Source organism: Homo sapiens, chromosome 14 (assembly GCF_000001405.40).
Source record: "Homo sapiens chromosome 14, GRCh38.p14 Primary Assembly".
NCBI classification, from domain to species: domain Eukaryota; kingdom Metazoa; phylum Chordata; class Mammalia; order Primates; family Hominidae; genus Homo; species Homo sapiens.
The window spans coordinates 92662879-92680773 of record NC_000014.9 but is presented as its reverse complement, the minus strand read 5'-3'; the positions used below and the strand labels follow the sequence as shown (position 1 = coordinate 92680773).

The following is a 17895-nucleotide window of genomic DNA, read 5'->3' as shown; positions in this document are numbered from 1 at the left end:
AAGGTGCACAGAATCCAACTTGCAGGCTTTCTGTCGAACACAGAATGGCTTGCTCACCTGAACTACGAAACACTGGAAGGCAGGGCCCAGCTCCATCTCTCATCCTGCCCCATGTGCTAAGGTCTGAATGTTCGGGTCCCCCTACCCCCAGATCCTATGTTGAAATCCTAACCTCCAATGTGATGGTGTTAGGAGGTGGGGCCTTTGGGAGGTCATTAGGTCATGAGGGTGGAGCCCTCATAAATGGGATTAGTGCCCTTACAGAAGAAGTGCCAGCTGGACATGGTGGCTCACACCTGTAATCCTAGCACTTTGGGAGGCTGAGGCAGGCAGATCACTTGAGATCAGGAGTTCGAGACCAGCCTGGCCAACATGTTGGAACCCTGTCTGTACTAAAAATACAAAAATTAGCCAGGTGTGATGGCGCAGGCCTGTAATCCCAGCTACTTGGGAGCCTGAGGCAGGTGAATTGCTTGAACCTGGGAGGCGGAGGTTGCAGTGGGCCAAGATCATAGCACTGCACTCCAGTCCGGGTGACAGACAGAGACTCTGTCTCAAAAAAAAAAAAAAAAAGTGCCAGAGAGCTGTCCTGTCCCTTCTGCCATGTGAAGATACAACAAGAACCCACCATCTATGAACCAGAAAGTGGGGTTCTCACCAGACACTGAGTCTGCTGGTGCCTTGATCTTGGACTTCCCAGCCTCCAGAACTGAGAGACATACATTTCCATGGTTCCAAAGTTATCCAGTTTATGGTATTTTATTAAGCATCCCAAACAAACTAACACCAAGCCACCACTGCAGAATACGAGAGCATCCAGACAGTTTGAAAACTGCCAATCTAACTTGATGTCTTCACTTCTGCAAGCCAGAGAGGTTAGGTGACTTGCCCAGGGTTTCCAGCCAGTCAGAGGCAGAACTGGGCCCCAAATCCAGCCTCCAAACTGCTCTTTTTACTCCACTTTGTGTTAGTTTTCTTAGATTCTAGCAACTTAAGTTCCCAAGAGTCTGGGGATTCTGGGAACCCCCACCTCCCACCCTAAGCATCTCTGAGCTCTGTCAGGGCTCAGTCTCCCTCCCCACCTGCACCACAGAGGTTGAGGTGATCAGGTACCTCTGCACCACCACCCCACTAAGCCAGGAGGGCTAAGCCAGAGAAACTCAGAAACACCACCTCACCCTTGCCCCTCTGCCCTGGGACCCAGATCCATTGAGATGAAGTGTCCAGGCTGTTGAAAGGTGGAAACCCCTGCCCTCGCTGGAGAGCCCCAAGGTCATCTAGATGCCAGAGGCAAACACCTGCAAGGCTGGCTGTCCTAGGTGCTGTGACCTCCCACACCCTGACTATTGAAGTAGGGCAGGGAGAGGTGCAGGGATGTGCCCGTGCCACCCACCCCCCTTGCTGGTGTGCACAGCGTGGTGTGGGTTTGTCCTCTGGCCCCTGGAGCTGCCATGGGCAAGGTGTGACACTGCCGTGGTCAGACAGGGCTGCCAGGAGGGACAGTGTGCCCTCTGCCCTCTCTATGGGGCCAGAGGTGGGCTGGGGGGCTCTGCCTACTCAAGTCTGACAAAAGGGCTGGATGCAGGCAGCCTTGGTCAGAATCTAGGAACTGTTTAGCGCCGTTATGAACTTTTTTTGTACTTTGGCTTGTCCTCCAAATACTTGAAGTAGCCCAGAATTGACATGCTCTCTGGCCTCGAGAACTTCTCTGTTTCTCACCCAAATCCCCTAGGCTTCTGGGAACAGGAAGAAGGATCCCAGGAGGCCATGGCAGGATTGGGGTGGGGGACGCAAGTCCATAGGAGAGGGCTGCTGGCCCAAGGATGTCCCTGCCCTTTTCCTGCTCAGCCACCGTGCCTGTGGTTCTTCTGTGTGCATGCTGAGAGCTTCCCTTCCTTGGGGAAACCAAGGAAGAAGGCCCACAAAGTCCTGATGAGGTAGAAGTCCCAAAATGTGGGATGCAGAATGAGGCATTCATTCATTCACACAAGGCTATCAGCCTTACTTGTCTTGTCCTACACCACAGCCCATGTGTTTGGCATGGATAAATGGGTGGGTGGATGAGTGGAAGGGTAGATGGGCGAGTGGATGAGTGGATGGGTGGACGGGTGGATGGATGGATGGTAGATGAATGGGTGTGTGATTGCGTAGGTGGGTGGATGGGTAGATGGATATGTGGATGGGTAGATGAATATGTGGAGGGTGGGCAAATATGTGGATGGGTGCATGAGTGAATATGTGGGTGGGTGGATGGGCGAATATGTGGATGGGTGGGTGGTGAATATGTGGGTGGGTGGGTGGGTGGATGGGTAGGTGGGTGGGTATATGGATATGTGGATGGGTGAATGAATATGTGGAGGGTGGGCGAATATGTGGATTGGTGGGTGAGTGAATAAGTGGATGGGTAGGGGGATGGGTAGATGGATATGTGGATGGGTGGATGAATATGTGGGTGTGTGGGTGAATATGTGGATGGGCAGGTGGGTGGACAGATGAGTGGACGGATGGATGGGTGGGTGGTTAGGTGGATGAGTGGATGCATGGATGGATGGGTGGGTGAATGGGTGGGTGGATGGATGGATGGATGGGTGAATGGGTGGGTGGATGGATGGATGGGTAGATGGTTATGTGGATGGCTGGGTGAATATGTGGATGGGTGGATGAGTGCATAGATGGATGGGTGAATGGATGGGTGGATGGGTTAATGGATGGATGAATGATGGATTGGTGGGTAGATGGATGGATAGGTGGATAGGTAGATGGAAATGTGGATGGGTAGCTGAATATGTGGATGGGTGGGTGGGTGAATACGTGGGTGGGTAGGTGGTTGGATGAGTAGATGGATGCATGGATGGATGACGGATGGGTGGGTGGACGTATAGATGGATAGATGGATAGGTGGGTGGATGGGTAGATGGGTGGGTGGATGGGTAGATGGGTGGGTAGGTGGATGAGTGGATGCATGGATGGATGGGTAGGTGAATGGGTGGATGGATGGCTATATGGATGGACAGATGAATAGATGGATGGATATATGGCTACACTGGGCAGCAGATAACCATTGCTGAAGAAACCTTGGCTTCTCTTGAATTCCTGGACTTCCTAGAAGACAACTTGTTCCCATTACAGGACATTTTTAACTACAGAGAAAAAAAAAAGGTAGATACAGAGGTCCCAGTGCCACTAGCCAAAGTTATATATGACAGCAAACGTCATGGCTTTAACACGCTCCCCTGAGCTGTCAACAACTCATGGAACTATCTCATCAAACTATCACCCCAGAGACTGGAACATGCAAAAAAAATGCGAACAGATACAAAGAGGGTCTGCTCATCTCAAGAACCACAAAGCCCAAGGGGAACCCTCAGGGCCTGGGAGGATGGTTCCCTCCTTTGAAGCTGATGTCTCAGAGGGGAAGTCAGGGCTCCCTCAGAGCTGATATCTGGACTGGCTGCCCCTCAGGAAATTCTTGGTGGATGGGTGGCTGAGGCTAAGTGGGTGGGAGGATGTGGTGGGAAGGAGGAAAGGGGAAGGGAAACTGAGCATGGGGTGGACCAAACCACACCTCTGCCTTCATCCTATTGGGGAGCACAGGGCTTCTTACTCATATCATTAACTTCCCACTGATGGAGGTCCTGACCCAGGGCTTATGAGCAAGGGGCCGAGAGTCCCTGGGGGTCACCCCTGTCTAAGAACTGATTGTCACTGTCTCTCAGACTCTTACTGTGAGCACTGCCTGCCACTTCAGCCCCTTCTTTTATACTACTACCTCCTGCTGTTCCCGCTACAAAGACTGCCTTTTCCCTTTTTTTTTTAATCAGCTGGCTCCTATTTATCCTTCATTGCTCAGCTCAGATGTCACCTCCTCCAGGAAGCCTTCCCTGACTGCACAGTCTGGGTAACATGCTCCTATGCCTTCTGGGATTCCAACTATTCCAGCACTTGTTACGTGGAGGTGGCACAGTCTCTTGACTGGCTCATCTCTCCCCCTAATCTGTGAGCTCCTGCAGGACAGGACCTGTGTAGGATTCACATTTGCATCCATGGGTCCAGAGCTCAGCCAGAGTCTGGCATCCAGGAGGTGCTTGTTGGGCCACCTAGAGTGCCCGTGGCGTGGCTGAGTTGGGGGTGTGCAATGCACCTGATGGGCAGGGGGTGGTGACTCACCCTCCCCCAGCTGCAGGGCGGGGTCCATGAGCTCCATCATGTACTCCACATTGAGAAGCATCTCCGTGAGGTTGCTGCGGGCCAGCACATACATGAGCACAGGCAGGAAGTCATCCGCCCCATAGGGCTTCCCTGGGAAGAAGAAGGAGGCAGAGGGAGATGAGTTCCAGGCTCTCCTTGTGAGATGCTCTCTGCCCAGGGTAGGGGACAGTGGTTTGCTGAGTGTGGATGGCGATCCCTGGAAGAGGAATGTTCCTGCTCTCTCATGACTCTCAGGACAGAGAGGACCCAGGGAGCAGCCTCCTCAGGAGGCCCGAGAAACAGTCCAAGTTTAGGAAGAAGGAACTGAGAAAGTGCCCTCGGCTGGGTGGAGCAAGACCCTGACCCCTTCCCCTTTCCTAGTCCTCCCTCTCCATGACCGCCCCCTGCTGCTTGCTTGACAGACAAATTCACATCATATTTATTCGTGGACCCACCCAGAAGCATTCATGGCTCCTGGCAAGGTTCCCTATCCCCACGAATCATACATCTCCCTCCCACCTGCGAAACAGAAACCTCTTCCTCACCCAGACACTACGAGACCTGAAATGTCACCATTCAGCCTTCTTCCTTTTTTTGGCGTAAACAGTGCCCTTTCCTAAGGCCTTCTTTTAAAACGTAAAGACCCCTCGAAGTATCATCTCATCACTACTGCCTTTGAGGGAGATGTTCACAGGGCTCAGAGCATCCTGACAGCAACAGACACTTTGCGTGGCAGATGGAGGGCGCTCTATAAAGGAACAGTGGCAGGAAGGAGGGTGGAAGGTGGGTCCGAAAGATACCTCCCCAGTGTGGCTCTTGGCTGGCCCTGAAGATTGCCCATTTGGCAACGCAAAGCCCAAGGCTGGAACTGTGGGTGGAGAATTCTGACCAGAATAGAATCTTCCTGCAGGCCCTTGGCTGGTCTTCTAGCCAGACTCTGCAAGTGCACTGGAGAAATGAAGCTTCGGTGAGCAGCTGTGCATGGTGGGAATGGCCACGCCTGGTCCCCAGCCCACCTTCTCACTTCCTCTAACCAAAGGGAGTCCAAGGCTCAGGCAAAGGTCTCCAGACTCAGCCGGGGGTTACCAGGTCTGGATGTGGACCGCAGAATAACCCATGCCAGTGCTGCTACCTTTGTGTTTTGGGTGAGATTAATAATCCATCCAAGCACATGCCAAGCAATGTATAGCTCTTGCAAAAAGTGTGTTTCTACTTGACATGTTTACAAAGGATTTAGGGACCATCAGGAAATACACCTGATAAAACAGTAACATCTAAATAAAAATTTGAAAACCATCAGTACCAATATAAATTACTAGAGGGATGATACTATAGGAAACATAAAAATGCAAATAAGCAGGAACCTACACAACTACTCTTTTACAGCAGCAAATTTGGCTTTGAGTTTCCTGCTGGCCAAAGCAAAAAGGAAAACAGTTACATTCTCACTGTCCATGAAGAAAAAATATACCTATTTCTTGGGGGAATCAAATTATTTTTCTAACTCTTAGCTCTAAAAGAAAATTTTCACATGTGGCTTCATTTGGGGACATAGAGAGACATGCCTGGCAAGTTCCTATCACACACATGGATGTTTGACTCATGATGGTCCTACCATTGTGTCAGGTGCAGCTCATGGCAAGCACTTCCAGGGGAGGGAGGAGGCAACTTTCTTTTCCCTTTTTTTTTTTTTTTTGAGACAGAGTTTTGCTCTTGTTGCCAAGGCTGGAGTGCAGTGGTGCCATCTCGGCTCACTGCAACCTCCGCCTCACGGGTTCAAGTGATTCTCCTGCCTCAGCCTCCTGAGTAGCTGGGATTACAGGCGTGCGCTGCCATACCCAGCTGATTTTTGTATTTTTAGTAGAGATGGGGTTTCACCATGTTGGCCAGGCTGGTCTTGAACTCCTGACCTCAAGTGATCCGCCCGTCTCAGCCTCCTAAAGTGCTGGGATTACAGGTGTGAGCCACAGCGCCCGGCCTTTGAGACAGGGTTTCACTCTGTCGCCCAGGCTGGAGTATGGTGGTTTAATCTCAGCTCACTTGCAACCTTGACTTCCTGGGCTCAAGCAATCTTTCCACCTCAGCCTCCTGAGTAGCTGGGACTACAGGCACATACCACCACACTCAGCTAATTTTTGTATGTGTATATTATTTGGTAGAGATGGGGTTTCGCCATGTTGCCCAGGTTGTCAAATTTCATAGTGAGCTCTGCACATTCACATCTGTCCTTGTAACAATGAGGCTGCTTCCTGCCTGAATAAAAGACTTCAGAGAGCTAAAGTGACCCTCCTGGGCAACTGCACGCTACACTGCTGAGAGGCGCGGTGTGAAGGCTGAGTCTCCAACCCCAGACCTGGGTTCAAATCCCAGCTCTACTACTCACCAGCTGTGGACCGTAGCAAGCTCCTTCCCTCCTCTCACCTCGGCAGGGAGGTTGGAGAACGAGGTGCCCGAGGATGTTTGAGGATTAATTGAAACGGCACAGGTGGTCAGAGCCATAGCAAAGCCTGAGGCAAAAGGAAAACTGCGTGCCCCATATGTGTTTATCAAAATAGCCTCTCATATTTTGAACCAGGTGGAAAAAGTTAACAAACGCACTACACTCAAGAAACAACGACTGTATCTAAAATCTGGTTGCCAATCTGTTTGCTTTCTACTGTCAGCCGTCACAAACGTATGTGGGCCTGGAAACTGCAGGCTGATTGGAAATGACTGCTCCTGTTGCACAGTAGTGCAGGATCATAAAACAGACAACAGCCTGACTTCACTGAAGATGTGGCGGCCGGGCGCGGTGGCTCATGTCTGTAATCCCAGCACTCTGGGAGGCCGACGCATGCGGATCACCTGAGGTCAGGAGTTCGAGATCGACCTGGCCAATGTGGGGAAGCCCCATCTCTGCTAAAAATACAAAAATTAGCCAGGAGTGGTGGCGTAAGCCTGTAATCCCAGCTACTTGGGAGGCTTAGGCACGAGAATCACTTGAACCTGGGAGGCAGAGGTTGCAGTGAGCCAAGATTGTGCCACTGCACTCCAGCCTGGGCGACAAAGTGAAACTCTGTCTCAAAAAAAAAAAAAAGTGGATATTTTGTTCATCATGGCTTTTCTTTGCATTAATTTTTATTTTTTAAAAAATACTGCATTAAAATAGTACTTATCTTGTCACATGAGCCCAAAGTTCCACTCTTAGTTATATATACACCTGAGAGAAACAACAATATATTTCCACACAGAGACCTGCACACAAATGTTCATGGCAGTATTGGTCATAATAGCTAAGAAGTGGAGATGGCTCCACTTGTCCATCACTTGTGGATACACAGGCAAAATGTGGTGCATGCACACCATGGAAAAGTCTTTGGGAATAAAAAGGAACAAGCTACTCATACATGCTGTGATATTGATATTTGTTCATTTTTTTGAGACCGGGTTATGAGACTGGCTATTTTTTTTTTCCTTTTTGTATTTTTGGTAGAGACAGGGTTTTGCCGTGTTGCCCAGGCTGGTCTCGAAGTCCTAGGCTCAATGATCCACCTGCCTCAGCCTCCCAAAGCGCTGGATTAAAGACGTGAGCCACCATGCCTGGCTGCTGTGATATTGATAGACCGTGATGATATTATGCTAAGTGAAAGAAGCCAGCCATGGAAGACCACATATTGTACGTATGATAGGACATAGGATTCCATCTATATGCAACGTCCAGAATAAGCAAACCCACAAACAGAAAGCAGATGAGTGGTTGCCTGGAGCTGGGCAGAAAAGAGAATGGGGAGTGATTGCTAATGGGTACCGAGTTTCTTTTTGGGGTGATAAAAATGATTTGGAATTGGAGTAGTTTTAGTTGTATGACCTTGCAAATATACTGAAAACCACTGAATCATTTTAAAAATTATGTGTATACACACACACACACACACACACACACACATGCACACACATATATATATAATTTATCTTTGTGGTTGAGTTTCTTGGGCATCCCCCTACATTTTGCCCCTAAGGCAAGTGTCTCCCCTCCCTGCCAGGGCTTGTGATTTCAGGGTCACATTCAGCCGACCAGGAGGTCTTGTGTTCCTTGCCTGCGCAGTCTGTTCTAGCCTGGTGTGAGTAACAGAGACTAGTGGTTGCTTTCCTTCCTCTTGCATTCTCCAGTCTCTATTTTCTTTTTCTTTTTTGTAGAAGGAGTCTTGCTCTTGTCGCCCAGGCTGGAGTGCAGTGGCACGATCTCGGCTCACCGCAACCTTCACCTCCCAGGTTCAGGCGATTCTCCTGTCTCAGCCTCCTGAGTAGCTGGCATTATAGGTGCTTGCCACCACGCCTGGCTAATTTTTGTATTTTTTTTTTTAGTAGAGATGGGATTTTGCCATGTCGGACAGGCTAGTCTCAAACTCCTGACCTCAAGTGATCCGCTCGCCTCAGCCTCCTAAAGTGCTGGATTTACAAGCGTAAGCCGCCGCACGCCCGGCCCCAGTCTCTATTTTCAAAGTAACAGCACTCCTGACTTTTAGCCAGGATAGGGCCACCCCAAATAAAGACTCCATTTCCCATCTTGCCTCATAGCCTGGGCGGCCTTGTCTCTAAGTCCTGGCTCCTGCAGTATAACACTGGCACCATGGATGCCTCCAGTCACTTTTGTCCAGTGAATGTGGATTCTGCTTATGGCCCGTCCTTGTTTAATTTTTTAGACAATGCGGCCCCTTGTGACCTGCCTTTCTGGCCACACTCAGTTTCTACATCTGCAAAATGGGCCAGCAACACTGGTGCTGATGACATCCTGGGATGCAGAGGACACCCCAAATGTCCACAGGGCCACGGGTGAGAAACCCTGCTTGAGGGAGTAATGACTTTTGGCCAAAGGATGGCCCAGATGGGGCCCTAGGTCTGAGGACTTCGGGGCCGGCCATGTGGGTATGAGGGGGCAGGAAGGGAGGGGGCCCAGGACTGTGGCTTTGTATCCCCTGGCTATGGAAGGTCCTTCACCTGCTCTTCTCCCCATGTTTTCCTTGAGGAATCTTGACCGACAATCCCACGTTCCTACTAATTTCACTCATCCTTCAAGATCTGCCTCCTCCAACTCCAAGAAGCCCTCCTGGGCTGCCCCAGGGTTACTGGTGCTTACTCTACTTTCCATCTTCCAACTTGAGATGACATTCTGCCTCCATCACCCTCCCACATAACATCCCACTGGGCTGCACCACGGCCCATTCCCTGAACTCTGAGTGCACTCTCCCCTCTCCAGGCCTTTGCACACGCAGTTCCCCCCCTCCTGGGACCCCCTCCCTACCTTCCCGTTATCAACTTCTTGTGCTCTCCCACATCCTCCAGCACAGCTGGACAGTTCCTGCTCTGGCTCCCATATGCCTTGACTGATTCAGAGCCTGCCCCCTTCTTCACATCGTGAGTGTGCTGAGGGCATGGATGGAGGCTGTGTGAGCCAGAGTGAGTCACTAACCCTCTCTGAGCCTCTCTCGCATCACTGCCTTTCCAGCCCCCAGCACAGGCTTGGGACGTAGGCTGCTGACAATGGACTGAACTATGTCCCATGTGTGTTCTTACTGGGTGCCACTCTGTCCTGCCAGGGGTAGGGTCATGGTCATAGACACTGGGATGTCCTGTGGGCCTTAGAAAGTGATGTGCTGGGAAATGCTTAACAACTGGCTCTCTGAAGGAAAAAAATCAACCTTGATTTGTAGCATTTGCCAATTTCCATGATCTAAATATTTCCACAATTTCCAACGTCAAGCTACCAACAAGAACACAGAGCTGGGAAGAGATAGATGCCCACAGCCAGCTCCCACGAGCTGGTGCGAGCTGACTCCAGCACACCATTGGCTTTAGTTTATCACGCCCAACCACACTGTGAGGAAATTGAGGCTCAGAGATGGGAGAAATTTGCTCAAAGCCCTGCAGCTGGTCAATAGCAGAGCTGGGACTAGAATCTGGGTCTCTGGCTGTTGACGTTGGTGAGAAAGTATCCACACAGGCATGATAGCTCCTCATGGACCAACACAAGCTTCAAGCATTGTTTAAACGCACTGGGTCCCAGCCCAACATTTTGGCAGTTAGGGCTGCCCTCTCCTTCCTGAGCAGCCTGGAACCCCAGGCTCAGGGCTAAGCCCTGAGCACATCGGAGCCTCAGGAAGTGCCACTGGGATGTTAGCTGCAAAATACTTCTCCTGTGAGCTGAACATCTGTCTTGGGTGGACCAGAGATCACGCCCATTTGGCTGTGCATTCAAATGCCCTGCTGGCGGCAGCCTCCACTTCCTGGTGATTTCTGCTTTCTTTTTTGCCAAGTCACATCTGTTTGCCATCTGTAGGTAGCTGATCACATTTCAAAAAGCTGGCTGGGGTTTTATGCATATTTCATCCACTGGGAGATTTTGGAGAAGGAAAGCTCTCTTTAAGATCAAAATGAGCTGAAGAGGTGCTCAGCTGGGTCACCCAGACAGTGAAGATTAGAAAGGCCCTAATTCCAGCCTGGGCAACATAGTGAGACTTTGTCTCTACTTAAAAAAAAAAAAAAATCAGCTGGGTCTGGTGGCATGCATCTGTAGTCCCTGCTACTCTGGAGGCTGAGGTAGGAGGACTGCTTGAGCTCAGGAGGTTGAGGCTGCAGTGAGCTATGATTGTGCCACTGCACTCCAGCCTGAGTGACAGGGTGAGGAAGCATTGTCTAAAAGAGGGGCTAGCAAATTTTTTTCTGTAAAAGGCCAGAAAGTAAATATTTTTAGTTTCAGGGGCCACAGGGTCTCTGGCCTAACTATTCAACTCAGCCCTTAGAACATAAGCAGCCCTAGATGCTGAGTATGGATATGGGTTGTGTTCCAATAAAACTATTTGCAAAATCAGGTGGTAGGCCAGAGTTGGCTGGGAGGGCCACAGTTTGCAGACGCTGATGGAGAGGAAAGGACTGAGCATCTTATCAAAACTACCCCCCACCTCACCCCCACCCAGGGCACCCATTTGTTGACTGGGCTCTTACTGAAAGCCAGTGGCTGATGCTGCAACACTGGGGCAGCAGGAGGCTCATGACTGTGCCCTGCCCTGGCCCTCGCTTTCCACCATGATTCCCATTTAGAGCCACTTTTTTCCTCCCAGAAGTCTTCCTTGAAGACCTCCTCAGCTAAGGCCAATGCCCTTGTAATGGCTCTCCCCAGTCCTGGCATTGCAGAATGGGAAAGTCAATATCACACGTTAACTCAGAGAGGCCTTCCCTGACCACCCAGTCCCAGGACAGCAAACTCCTCCAACACTCCTCAGACCCCCTACCCTGCTTTATCGACCCCAGTTGCACGTTTCACCTTGGAGGATATATTTTGCATTTCTGTTTACTTGTTATTGCCTATCTCCCCTCCTTGAATGAAAGTTTTACTCGGGCAGGTACCTTATCTTCTTCACTGTTTATATCTGACATCTCAGCGGTACCTGGTCTATAGTAGGTGTTTAATAAAAATATTTGCTAAAAGCATGAATGAATATCAGTTATCACACTGCAAGATGCTTGCTTATTTAATGCTTGTTTTTAGCTTGAATTGTGAACATCCTAAAAACATGGGCTGGGTCTTCTGGGTTTTGTTCTTAACATCTGCATTGTCAAAAAAAGTTTGTTGAACGGTTGAATGAATGAATTTATTTGATAAAAACGTATGACAGCAGGAAGTAGAGGCCATTTAGAACAGTAGACTTCAAATCTGTGTTTGCAATGGAAACCTTTAGTAATGGGTACCTTATGCACAGTTCAGCTTCTCTGGTTGACTCAGGGTGGGGCAGCAGAGCTGGCCTGCTCATCTCCTTTCAACTATGTCCCTCCACTGTTCCCATGGCGGCCCCCAGCTATGTCTGTGGCCCCTAGAGAGTTTCCTGGAAATAGTTTGAAAACTACTGATCTAGTCTGAACTGTCCGCTGCACAGATGAAAGAACTGAAGCCTCGGCAGAGAAATGCTTGGCTGGAGGTCACTTGTCAAGTCTGTGGCTGTCATGAGATTAGAACCCAGCCCCCTCTCTCCCACTGAGCTCCTTGAAGCTACCCTGTTTGGTTGCTTGCACTTTGCACAGATGCTGGTTAAGTCTCAGTTCTGCTCTGAGCTACACTGTGTCCCTGAGGAAAACACTCCAGCTCCCTGGGTTTCTCTTCAGAGAGCTCAGCCCACAAGCCAGTCAGCTACACAGGCTGTGGGCTCTGAGGTCTGAAGCCATGAAGTCCCACTCTGGCTTGAAAAGGCATGAGGTTGGAGGCACTGCAAAACTCAGCCATGACTTGTGTCTGTCTTTTCTGAGGTCATCTCTGACCTCAGGATGCCCTGGGGAGGCAGGCTGGAGAGGCCAGAGGGCCCTGGGTTTCAGCAAAGGACCCGGGTTCAAGTCTCAGGTCAACCACTCACCTGCTCATCAGGTGTGACCCTAAGCGTGCTACTTAACTTCACTGAGCCTTAGTTTCCTCAGCTGTAAAATGGGGATAATCACAGTGTCCACATCCCCTGGAGTGGTTGTGAGGATGACATGACAAGACAGATGGAAGGTGATTAGCATGGACTAGTAAATGCTAGACACAATTATTATGAAAGACAGGAGGGGATTTTGTCCTATAAGCCTCAGAACATGACATCTTAGGGGGCCTGCACTCCATTTGTGTTGTGGGGTAAAAAAGCGAGGTTGTGAGTTACAACCTTTTGGAGAAGGAAAGCTCTCTTTAGCTCTCTTTCAGATGCCCCCCCATTCCTGTCACCTGGATGTCAATCCCTAGGGAGACCTAGGAAGTCTTCCTATGCATGGATCCCTGAATGACCATATGGAGCATGGCCCTCCACCTCCAAACCTCCTCTATGCAATTGGACTTACATGAGTGAGAAGTACACTTCTATTGAGTTAGAGATGAGAGGGCTTATCCAGCATCAAATAGCAGCAAATGTTTATAGCAGCAAATGTTTCCTTAACCAATTATCTATTTACCTATCTGTAGTTATTTCAAAAAGACTAGAAAGAAATTCACCAACAGACTATTGATCAATTTGCAACAATAAACATGAGCGACTTTGATCATCAAAAATCAGTTTAATTTTTTTTTTTTTTGAGACGGAGTCTTGCTCTGTCACCCAGGCTGGAGTGCAATGGTGTGATCTTGGCTCACTGCAACCTCCGCCTCCTGGGTTCAAGCGATTCTCCTGCCTCAGCCTCCTGAGTAGCTGGGATTACAGGTGTGCGCCACCATGCCCAGATAATTTTTGTATTTTTGGTAGAGACGGAGTTTCACCATGTTGGTCAGGCTGGTCTTGGTCTTGAACTCCTGACCTCATGATCCGCCCGCCTTGGCCTCCCAAAATGCTGGGATTACAGGCGTGAGCCACCGTGCCTAGCCCAGTTTAATTTTTTTAAACACAGATTTAAAAAAATCAACAGCCTGACCTCCCTCCCTGTCCTCTCTACCCCGTCAATGTCACAAGGCCCATTATTCCATACCCCTGGGGTCCCCATCAAGAGCCCCCCTCCCATCCAATTCCTCTGCGGCTGCCCCTGCCTGAACCAGCTGTGGACTCTTGACTCTGTGGTCTCTGCCAGGGAAGTGGATGGCAGGGGACCTGGGAATCTATCACCACCCGGTTGGCCCCCACGTCCCACCACCTGGTCATTAGTGTGCTCCATCCCCCTGGGGTTAGGAGCCAGGCCCTGTTTCCAGAAGCTCACGTGGGTGGTATCAGGGTGTTTACATAGACTACTCAAGGAGCTGAAAAGGCAGCCTCTGGCCATCAGTACCCTCTGGGATGCCTCCTGCTCGGCATTCACATTAGAAGGTTCCCAAACTGCACCCCTACCGTCTTTCTCCCCCTCCCATCTTGAAGAGGTTTCTTGGGCTTGAGTCTGTTTCTCCCCAGCAGAGGACCAGCTCCGAATGACTAGTCTTAGACATCAAGGAGGTGGGAATGACTTCTTTGTCAAAGTAATAGAAGAGATGAATCTAGAAGTTCTGGCTGCTCTCACCAAGCCTCATGAAGTCCATGAAGAATCCCGGTCTGCTCCTGATTCCAGGATGGAGGGCCAGTTTATCCAAAGCCATTTGCTTCCGTGAACTCCCCAATTTGCCGAACCCAGGGCCCTAAACTTGTGACAGGAGAAGACACACTCGACCAGGATTCTGAAGCTTGGGGTCCATTCCCAGGCCGGCCACTGGCACCGTGATAGAAGCACAGGCTTTAGAGTGAGCTGATACTAGGTTTAATCCTGGCCCTATCTTTCTGGAGAAGATAGCATGGCCAGTTAACCCAGATCTTGTGTCTCCATGTTTACCCCTTTCCTCGCTGTTCCAACAGGTCTTGCTAGCGGCCCGCCCTATTTTATTCCCCTTTCAAGCGGGCCATGAAGGTACCACATCAAGCTACTGTTGCCTGCATCATAGCAATGAGGCAGGTGGGTGAGGCATCTTCCCTGGAGGTGAGGGGGCTGGGAAGACTAGAGGCAGGGCTAGGCAGGATGGAAGTCAGGAGTGGTGGACAGGGAGGGCTGTTTTCTGTTTAAAGCAGTCAGTGGTGGAGGAAGTAGGTCAGTGGTGGAGGTAGGCGGGACTCGGGCTGGAGTCTGCCTCTCTGTGGGGTCACTCACAGCTCCCAGGGCTCAACAAAGAGCTGCTGGGCTGCATACCACACCTCGGGTAGCAAGGCCATAGACTACACAGCTGCCCGGATCACCTGCCAGGGGAAGGTATGATTGAATGCTGGGACCTCGTTCTAAAATTGCTGAACGTCAAAGTCAGAATTGAAGTCAGTTGGGATCTGGCTAAGACTGCATAACCTCAATCTAATCATCAGGAAACATCTGACAAACACAAAATGAGGAACTTTCATTAAGAAAAGGTGGGGCTGGGGGAAAAAAAACAGTATCCTTCAGAAACATCAATATCATTAAAGACAAAGAGTCCAGGCGCGGTGGCTCACGCTTGTAATCCCAGCACTTTGAGAGGCCGAGGTGGGTGGATCATGAGGTCAGGAGATCAAGACCATCCTGGCTAACATGGTGAAACCCCATCTCTACTAAAAATACGAAAAAAAATTAGCCGGGCATGGTGGTGGGCACCTGTAGTCCCAGCTAATCAGGAGGCTGAGGCAAGAGAATAACGTGACCCCGGGAGGAGGAGCTTGCAGTGAGCCGAGATTGCGCCACTGCACTCCAGCCTGGGCGATAGAGCGAGACTCTGTCTCAAAAAAAAAAAAAAAAAAAAAAAAAAGAGACAAAGGCTGTGGAAATACAGTCACGCAACGCATAATGAACTTTTGGTCAATGATGGACCACGTATATGACGGTGGTTCCATGAGATCATAATGCCAGACTTTTACTGCACCTTTTCTACATTTAGATATGTTCAGATACACAAATAGTTGCCACTGAGCTACAACTGCCTACAGTTTTCAGTATAGTCACATGCTGTACAGGGTGGTAGCCTGGGGGCAATGGACCATACCATACAGCTCAGGTGTATAGTAGGCTGTGCCATCTAGGTTTGTGTGAGTACACTCTAAAATGTTTGCACAACAATGAAATTGTCTAATGACGCACTCCTCAGATTCTATTTCCATCATTCAGCCACAGATATGAGATATTCCAAATTAAAGGAGGTTAAAAACATATGACAAGCACACGGAATATCTAACCCTTCATCAGATCCTGAACATGAGGGGGAAATTCTAAAAAGGACCTTATTAGGTCAAGTGACAACCTGAAAGTTTAGACAAAAATGCTGTATTAACATAAATTTATGCAACGGACAACTCCACCGTGGCTATGTAAGAGTTATGTAATGTTACATACATACATGCCACAAAATACCTAGGAAAGCGTTTGGGGTAAAGGACACAGGTGTATGTAAGTTACCCTTACGCTATTCAGACAAAACATTATGTATGCAGAGAGAGAAAGAAAATGATGAATGGCCGGGCTCAGTGGCTCACTGCTGTAATCCCAGCACTTTGGGAGGCCGAGGCGGGCAGAACACGAGGTCAGGAGATCGAGACCATCCTGGGCAACACGGTGAAACCCCGTTTCTACTAAAAATACAAAAAAAAAATAGCTGGGCATGGTGGCAGCCACCTGTAGTCCCAGCTACTTGGGAGGCTGGGGCAGGAGAATGGCGTGAACCCGGGAGGCGGAGTTTGCAGTGAGCCGAGATCGCGCCACTGCACTCCAGCCTGGGCGACAGAGTGAGACTCCATCTCAAAAAAAAAAAAAAAAAAAAAGAAAGAAAGAAAGAAAATGATGAAGCGGAGGGGGTTGAATGTTAACAATTCACAAAGGGTCTGCAGGTGTCCTGTTTCCATTCTTAGAGTTTTTGAAGTTTGAAATTATTTCCAAATGAAATGTTAAAAAAATAGAACTCTTTATTTGAAACAAAATCCCATGCAGAACCCCATGTGTAAAACAGGTACAAGCAGCGTTGTCTGGGGTGGAGCTGGCTTGGGGACCAGCTTGTCTTTTGACCCTTTGGTGGCCCCTGGGGTGCCTTGGGGAATCCATCTTGAAAACCACTGAGTTCAGCTTCTGTATTGTTGGGAACGTGGCTGGGAGGCAGCTGTTCCTGTATCCTAACATCTAGACGCTCATTCATAAACTTTGACCCTCACAATAGCCCAGAGAGAGGCGTTCCTAGCCCCATTTAAAGAGTGGGAAAACCGAGGCTCAGGAAGTAACTCCTTGAGCACTTAGGCTGTCCCATGTGCTGTCCCAGCCCCTGCATCGCAACATGACAAGTGTATCACCCTCATTTTGTACACAAACAAAGGTCCAGGGAGATTAATGTCCAAGGCTATAGCACCGAAGCTGGGATTCAAAACCAGGACCGTGGATGAACCCCAAATCCTCTGCTCTTTGGATTTGGGGTTGACAAATCCCAAACCGATTTGAGCAGAACCTAATTCCGCCCAGGTGAAGATGCTGAGGCTCTGACTGGAGCAGCCCTGGCCTGCCCGGTTCAGAGATGAAATTGGGAGTCACGGTGCTCCCAGTCCAGTGCTCAACCAGTGGTGGGAGGGAAACATTCTTTCTGTTCCTTGATAAGAAACCCACTGGTTTCTGGGGGAGACCCTGGCCTGACCTTCACGTCTCAGAGTCTCCCCGACTGGGTCTGGCTTCTGGATCTGCAGAGATTCCGGCCTCCCTCCCTCTTGCCTGCTGAGGATAGAAAGCAGCAAGCACCTGGTTCTGTTCCATTCAACCACATGCGGCACCAGCCATGCCCTTTCCAGCAGCTGCCTTTCTTGCTCCTCCTCCCTACTCAAAATGAGCCATTCCTTCCTCGAATCCCTGCTCTCTGGTAAGTTTTTAGGAAGCGAATTCATTGTTAGCAAAAATCACGGTGTTTGACTTTCACCACAAGGACGATAACTATGTGAGATGACGCTAGCTTTAGTCATTCCACAATGTAGATATACTTGAAAGCATCATGTTGTACACAATAAATACATACAATTTTATCTGTCAATTTACAAAAGTCAGGCTGGGTGTGGTGGCTCACACCTGTAATCTCAGCACTTTGGGAGGCCAAGGCGGGCAAATTGCTTGAGCTCAGGAGTTCGAGACCAGCCTGGGCAACATGGTGAAACCCCGTCTTTACAAAAAATACAAAAATTAGCTGGGTGTGGTGGCACATACCTGTAGTCCCAGCTACTCAGGAGGCTGAGGTGGGAGAATTGCCTGAGCCTGGGGGGTGGTGCCACTGTACTTAAG

At 49.7% G+C, this 17895-nt stretch overlaps 1 protein-coding gene and 1 long non-coding RNA gene across 3 annotated transcripts in view, besides 1 other annotated feature; one reads left to right on the top strand and one right to left on the bottom strand.

The window, feature by feature from the left end:
* The window catches only part of RIN3 (Ras and Rab interactor 3), a 175214-nt gene that overhangs the window by 8221 nt on the left and 149098 nt on the right, over positions 1–17895 (bottom strand). For both annotated transcript variants that reach the window (NM_024832.5, NM_001319987.2), the window contains one exon: positions 4168–4299. In NM_024832.5, the coding sequence (NP_079108.3) occupies positions 4168–4299 (132 nt within the window). The remainder of the gene's footprint in view (positions 1–4167; positions 4300–17895) is intronic.
* LOC124903364 (uncharacterized) lies at positions 7667–11663 on the top strand. Its single transcript, XR_007064309.1, has 2 exons — positions 7667–7843; positions 8871–11663. It is a non-coding gene; the product is annotated as an uncharacterized LOC124903364 (long non-coding RNA).
* Positions 15130–15307: a silencer, noted in NCBI's record as "fragment chr14:93131812-93131989 (GRCh37/hg19 assembly coordinates)". NCBI's record gives its function as "represses an EF-1alpha promoter that drives an FKBP-Casp9 reporter gene in an ReSE screen in HepG2 liver carcinoma cells {active_cell/tissue: HepG2}" and the evidence as "EXISTENCE:reporter gene assay evidence [ECO:0000049][PMID:32094911]".